This window comes from Homo sapiens, chromosome 2 (assembly GCF_000001405.40).
Source record: "Homo sapiens chromosome 2, GRCh38.p14 Primary Assembly".
NCBI classification, from domain to species: Eukaryota; Metazoa; Chordata; class Mammalia; order Primates; family Hominidae; genus Homo; species Homo sapiens.
Genome location: NC_000002.12, coordinates 4,339,156 through 4,345,847, shown reverse-complemented (window position 1 = coordinate 4,345,847; position 6,692 = coordinate 4,339,156).

Sequence of the window (6,692 nt, the reverse complement as noted above, 5' to 3'; positions counted from 1 at the left end):
GAACCTACCTATAGTTTTGGTGAAAATTCTTATCTTCATAACATTGAGTTTTATTAATTTTCCCTATAAGGGCCTTGTATGACTTTTGGTAAATATATTCCTATCCATTTTTATTGGTTTTTAATTGCTACATGACACATGGCCACAAACATAGTGACTTACAGTGGCTCCGAAGTCTGAGCATGGTGTGACTGGCTTCTGTGCTCAAGGTTTCACAAGGCTGAAATGATGATTCCCACTGGGCTGTGATTGCTTCTGAGGAACAGAGCACTTCCAAACCCTCTCAGGTTATTGGCCAAATGTAACTTCTTATAATTTTAGGACTGAGGTCCCTGTTGCTGGCTGTCGGCCAAAGGCCACTTTCTGTCTCTAGAGGCAACACACATTTCTTAACATGTGTCTCACTTCATATTTAAAGATAGAAACAAATAATTTCTATCGCTTTTTAAAAATTATTATTTTTCAGACAGGATCTCACTCTGTCACCCAGGCTAGAATGAAGTGGCGTGATCAGATCATGGCTCACTGCAGCCTCAAACTTCCAGACTCAAGTGATCCTCCTGCCCCAACCTCCTGAGTAGCTGGGATTATAGGCACAGACTACTACATCTGGCTATTTTTTGTTTGTTTGTAGAAACGGAGTCTTCCTAGTTGCCTAGGTTGGTCTTGAGCTCCTGGCTCAAGGGATCTTTCTGCCTCTGCTACCTAAAATGCTGGGATAACAGGTGTGAGCCACTGTGCTTGGCTACTATTGTGTTGAATTCCCCTCACTTTGAATTTCTGACTTCTGTTTCTGACCATATACCTTGACTTAAAGAATCACATAGTTATTTCAGGCTCACTTCCCTTTCTTAAAAACAGTTGTACCCTACATAACATAACCTAATCTGATGAACAGAATCCCTTCGTATCTAAAGCCCAAGGGTTTGTACGGTGTATGTACATTGGTGTGCAGGAATCTTGGGGGACATTATAATTCTAACTATCGACCTGATTAAGAATTATTAATTATGCTACCCAAATCTTCTATAGCTATATAAATATTTTGTCCACCTGACAACATAATAATGAAAAGTATATTTCATATGTTATTCTATTGAGGATTTGTCATACTTTCCTCCATTAATTCTGTCTATTTTTTGTTTATTTACTTTGTGACTAGTTTTACATGCACAAACCTTTTGGATACTATAACAACCCAGGCACACTATACCCAAATTTCTGATATATAGGACTGTCTGCAAATAAAAAGAAAATAGCTAGTTGAGTCTATTATTATTAAGTACTGATCCTTCAAGTTTCTAAGATTACTTATGTTTTCCTTAAGGCACACATAAAATTAACAGGGATGTAGAAGACTTGGTCAAGTTTCAACCAAATTAAAATAATTGGATTTTATTCACTGTCCACCAAGCAACAGTAGAATGTACATTTTTTTTCAAGTGCACGTGAAACATTTGCCGAGTTATACTATGTTTCAGGTATAAAACAAACCATAATAAATTTATAAGTATTGAAGTAATACAAATATGTTATCTGACATAAGGGAATTAAACTTGATATTAATAACAGAGAGACATTTAGAAGATCCTCAAATTTCTGGAAAATAAACAATATACTTCAACATAAAACTAGAGAAAAAGAAAAAGCATGAAGGTAAATTAGGAAATATTTAAACTGATTGAAAATAAAAACATACCATATTAAATTTGTGGGATTCATCTAAAGAAGTGCTTAAAGGAAGACTTATATCATTAAAAGGTTTATATTCATACAAAAAAGTCCTCAAAATAAAAATAGATGCTTCTTCTTTAATAAGCCAGAAAATATAGTAAATTGAATTCAAAGAAAACAGAAGAAAGTAAAAAAAGATTAAAAACCAGTGAAATTGAAAGCAATAAATAGAAAAATAATTAATATCAAAAGCTAGCTCTTTACAAAGAGGAAAAACTTGTACACTTCAAGCAAGACTCACCAGTAAAAAAAGAGAGAAGACACAAATTACCAACATCAGGAATGAAATAGGTGATATGACTACAGATACCACAGATGTTAGAATAATTACATAAGCTACAAGTAATTATACTTTGTAAATCAATTTAGGTAAAGTGGAACAACTCTTTGAAAGACATAAACTACCAAAATTCCCCCCAAAAGAAATAAATAACCTAAAAAGTCCTATATCTCCTAAAGAAAATAAATGTTCAATTAAAACTCCAGGCCTATATGGCTTCCACCAAACATTTAATTAAAAAATAATATGAATTCCACACAATCTCTTCTTGAAAATTAAAGAGGAGAGAATAATTTGCTATATTTTTATAAGGCAAGAATTATTCAGATAAGGAAACTAGATGAAGATTTTACAAGAAAACAAAATTATGAACTAATATCCATTATGAACATAGGCAGAAACTTATGAACATAAGCAGAAACTTAGTGAATTGAATCCCTCTCCATATATAAAAATAACAAAATACACCATGGTTGGAATGCAAATATAGTTAAACCATTGAAAATCAAACTCTGTAATTAATCATTGTATTTAAATTACTATTATAGCAAAATCCCACAAACACAGTGGCTTACAACAAAACAAATTTGCGATCTTGCAGGTCTTTAGGTTAGAATTCTGGCATGGGTCTTACTGGGTTAAAATCAAGATGTCAGAAAGGCTGCATTTCTTTCTGGAGGGTCTAGAGGAAAAGCCATTTTCTTTTCTTTTTCTGCTTCTAGAGGTCACATAATCCTTTGCTCCTGGCCACTTCCTACATCTTCAAAGCAGGTAATGGCAGGTTGAGCCTCTCCTCACATCACTGACTTTCCCTCTGTGGTCACATCTCCCTCTAGCTCTGTCCTGCTACCTGCCTTTTCACTTCTACGGCCCCTCCTTTGCATCAGGCCCATCCACATATCAGAATAGTCTTCCTACCTGAAGGTTACCTGATTAACTATTTCAATTCCATCTGCAGCCTTAATGCTCCATTGCCGTGTAACCTAACTTTCTCACAGGTTCTAGAGATAGAAACATGAGGATCTTTAAGGGACCACTTTTCTGCCTTCCACAACCATATCGACAAACTAAAGAAGAAAAAAGCACACAGTCATCCCAATTAGTAAATAAAAAGCTTTTGAAAAATGCACTATCCATTCCTAATTATATATGTATAACTACAAACACACATACCATACATTACCATACATACACACACACACACACACACACACACACACACACACACAGAAACGCACACACATTTATCAGTAAACTAGGACTGGAGGAGAGCTTTCTTAACATGATGAAAAGTACGTAGAAAAACTTATAGCTAACATCATGCTTAATGTGAAAGACAATTATTTATCTTAAGATTGTAACCAATAGGAGTGCCCATTTTCATTTTTAAACATTGTATTAGAAATTCTAGCCATTCAATAATTTTAACACTTTCTGTTTTTTTAAATATCATAGCTGTCTATGCTAAAAATTCCAAGGGAACCATACAAATTTCTAGAATTGATAACTGAGTTAAGCAAGATTATAGAATTCAAAGTCAATTAAAAATGAAATCTACTGTATTTCTACATGACAGTAATAAAATCAGAAAAACAAATTTAGAAGTCTCATTTATAATAGCATCAGAAGAATAGTTATAAAGGTCAATGAAACAGAATAGAACATTCAGAAATAGCCATGCTTGTGTTTGGTTTATTTTTAACAAGGGTGTGGAGGCAACTTAAAAGAGAAAGAATAAATATTTTTAAAGAAGTGGTGGTAAAACGTCTATTCACGTTCAAAACAATGAACTGGAACCCATAACTCATACTACATACAAAAACTTCAAAATATGTCATAAACTTAGAAGTAAAATGCAATACTTATAGAAACATATAAAACATAAAACTATAGAAGAAAACATGTAAAAATACCTTTGCGTCATTTGATTAAGCAAAGGGTGCCTAGATACAACACAAAAAGCACAATTCATAGAAGAAAAATAATAAATTGGACTTCGTATTTCTTCTTAAATTGTTCTATTAAAGATACTACTAAGAGGCAGAAAAGATTAACCAAAGACTAATGGAAAATATTTGCACAAACATGTGCATGTAAATATTTATAGCAGCGTTATTCTTAAACTCTAATAACCAGATATAACATGATTGTACTTTAACCTATGAATAGATGAATAAATTGCAGTACCTTCATACAATGTACTACTGCTTAGCAATATAAATGAACAAACCACTGATACATGAAATAACATGGGTGGCTCTCAAATGTACTATGTTAAGTGAAAGAAGCCAAACTTACAACATTGTATAATGTATGATTCCATTATATGACATTATGAAAAAATAAAATTATATGGGTGGAAAACATCAGTGGTTGCCAGCTTTTGAGGGTGAGGGGAGAGGTTGACTACAAAGAGACAGAACCAAAATAATTTATGGGGGTCATAGAACAGTTATGCATCTTGATTATATTGGTCATTATATGACTATGCATTTGTCAAAACTCAGAAATAAAAAACCAAAAAAGTGATATTTGTATTTATATTTGTATTATTGATATTTATATTATATATAAATTTAAAAATAGACACACAAAAATTTTATTAGGCAATCAAGATGCCACGTGGACTGATATATCTTCTCATTTGCTTTGTATATTAAAGTCTTTTAAAAATTTATATATATATACATATATAATTGATGAATGAGTTTACAATATTGATTCATTATAGCAAAAGCTGCCTATTTTTCAATAAAAACAATTACTGAGAATGTTTAGATAGATAGTATAAGAAAACAGAATGACGATTCACTGGTAAATTAAAAAGGGTATATTATTATAGCAATACATCACTTATCCACGACCACTTTCTGCAGTTTCAGTGACCTGTGACCAATGGCAATCTAAAAATATTATATGAAAATTTCCAGAAATAAACAATTCATACATTTTAAATTGCTTGCCTTCTAAGTAGCATGATAAAATATCATACCATTTCACTTCATCCCACATGGGATGTGAATCATCCTTTTGTCCAGCATATCTACACTTTAAAAACTACCTGCCTATGAGTCAGTAGCTGACTCAGTTATCAGATTTACTATAACAATGTCACACTGCTTGTGTTTAAGTAACCCTTATTTTACTTACCAATGATCCCAAAGCACAAGAATAGTGACGCTGGCAATTCACATATTCCAAAAAGAAGCTGTAAAGTGCTTCCTTTAAATGGAAAGGTGAAAGTTCTCAACATAAGAAAAGAAAAAATGTGTATGTTGAGGTTGCTAAGATTGCTAAGATTGTAAGATTGAATACCCTATTTTTAAAATTGTGAAAAAGGAAAAAGAAATGCATGCTAGTTTTCATGTTGTAACTCAAACTACAGACATTACAACTATAGTGTGTGACAAGTGCTTGACATGAAAAAGGCATTAACTTTTGGGGTGAAAAACATGAACAAAAATATGTTCCAAATGACAATAATTGAGTTCAATGCTATCTGCAATTACAAATATCCATTGGGGGTCTTGGAACATATCCTCCATAGATATGAAGGAAGTGTTGTATATAAACTATACTAAAATTATTATATTTATTTTGAGCCAACAAGTGTTTGTGAATGTAAAAAACAATTATAAAGCATAATAATAGGGATTAAGTTACAGGATGTTCTTTTTATAGAATTGCTTTGAGGATTAACATTTATAATGGTAAAGAGAATTATTTTTAAAAGTCATATTTACTTTTGGTTTTTAAATGTAAATAAGTTCTTTAATCTTTTAAGAGTAAGTTTTTTTTTTGGATTTTTTTTTAATATCTTGTGCTAAGGAAAGAAAAGCCAATTGTCCACTTGGTGTCTTGCTATGTGAAAATTTCATTAAGAAGAATAACATTAAAATCATATTTTAGAATCATCCATAATCAATCTTCTCTGATCTAGACAAAATTTAGCATACATTCCTAAAGAATAAAGTAGTAAAGAAAATGAGAAAATAAAAATAGAATTTTCCATTACTCAAACCAATTAAATTGTTCCTTTGCCATAATTATTGGACCAAAATTTATAAGCAAATTTCTCTCTATTGAGTGTATAGACAGATGCAATAATATCAGAAGTAAAAAAATATAAAACAGTAATTATTGCAATAATCTTAAGTCTGCTTATGAAAGTATTTCAGCAGCATTTTTCTTCAAGAAAAATAAAAAGATTCAGTTTGTGGCTATGCTTCCATAAAATTAAAATGACTTACAAAAAGTATATACTAAGAGCTACTTAGGTTTGGGAACTATCGTGGAAGTCCAAGAAAGTGGTTTGTCTATGGTAAACAAGATGAGAGACTGTGAAAGGTACTTACCTGAAAGTAAAACAAAAATAATTAATGATGGATAAGAGGGAAATGGGGAAGAACAAGAGAAAGACAAAAAATGATACCAAGAAAAAAATGGCAATTTCTGCCCAAGGAGACTAAGGCTTTTCCTGTTAAGATGGGAGTGGATGCACCTGCCCATGAGGCACATGGGAGAGGAATCATCACCAAAAACAAAACCAGCACTCTGAGAGGAAAATCAAATCAAATCAAAAAGAAAAGAAAGCAAATGTTAGAGAGGTGACCAGCAGAATCTACCAGAAAGTGTTTAAGACATACTAATTCCTATTATTCTCTATGCTACTTTTCCT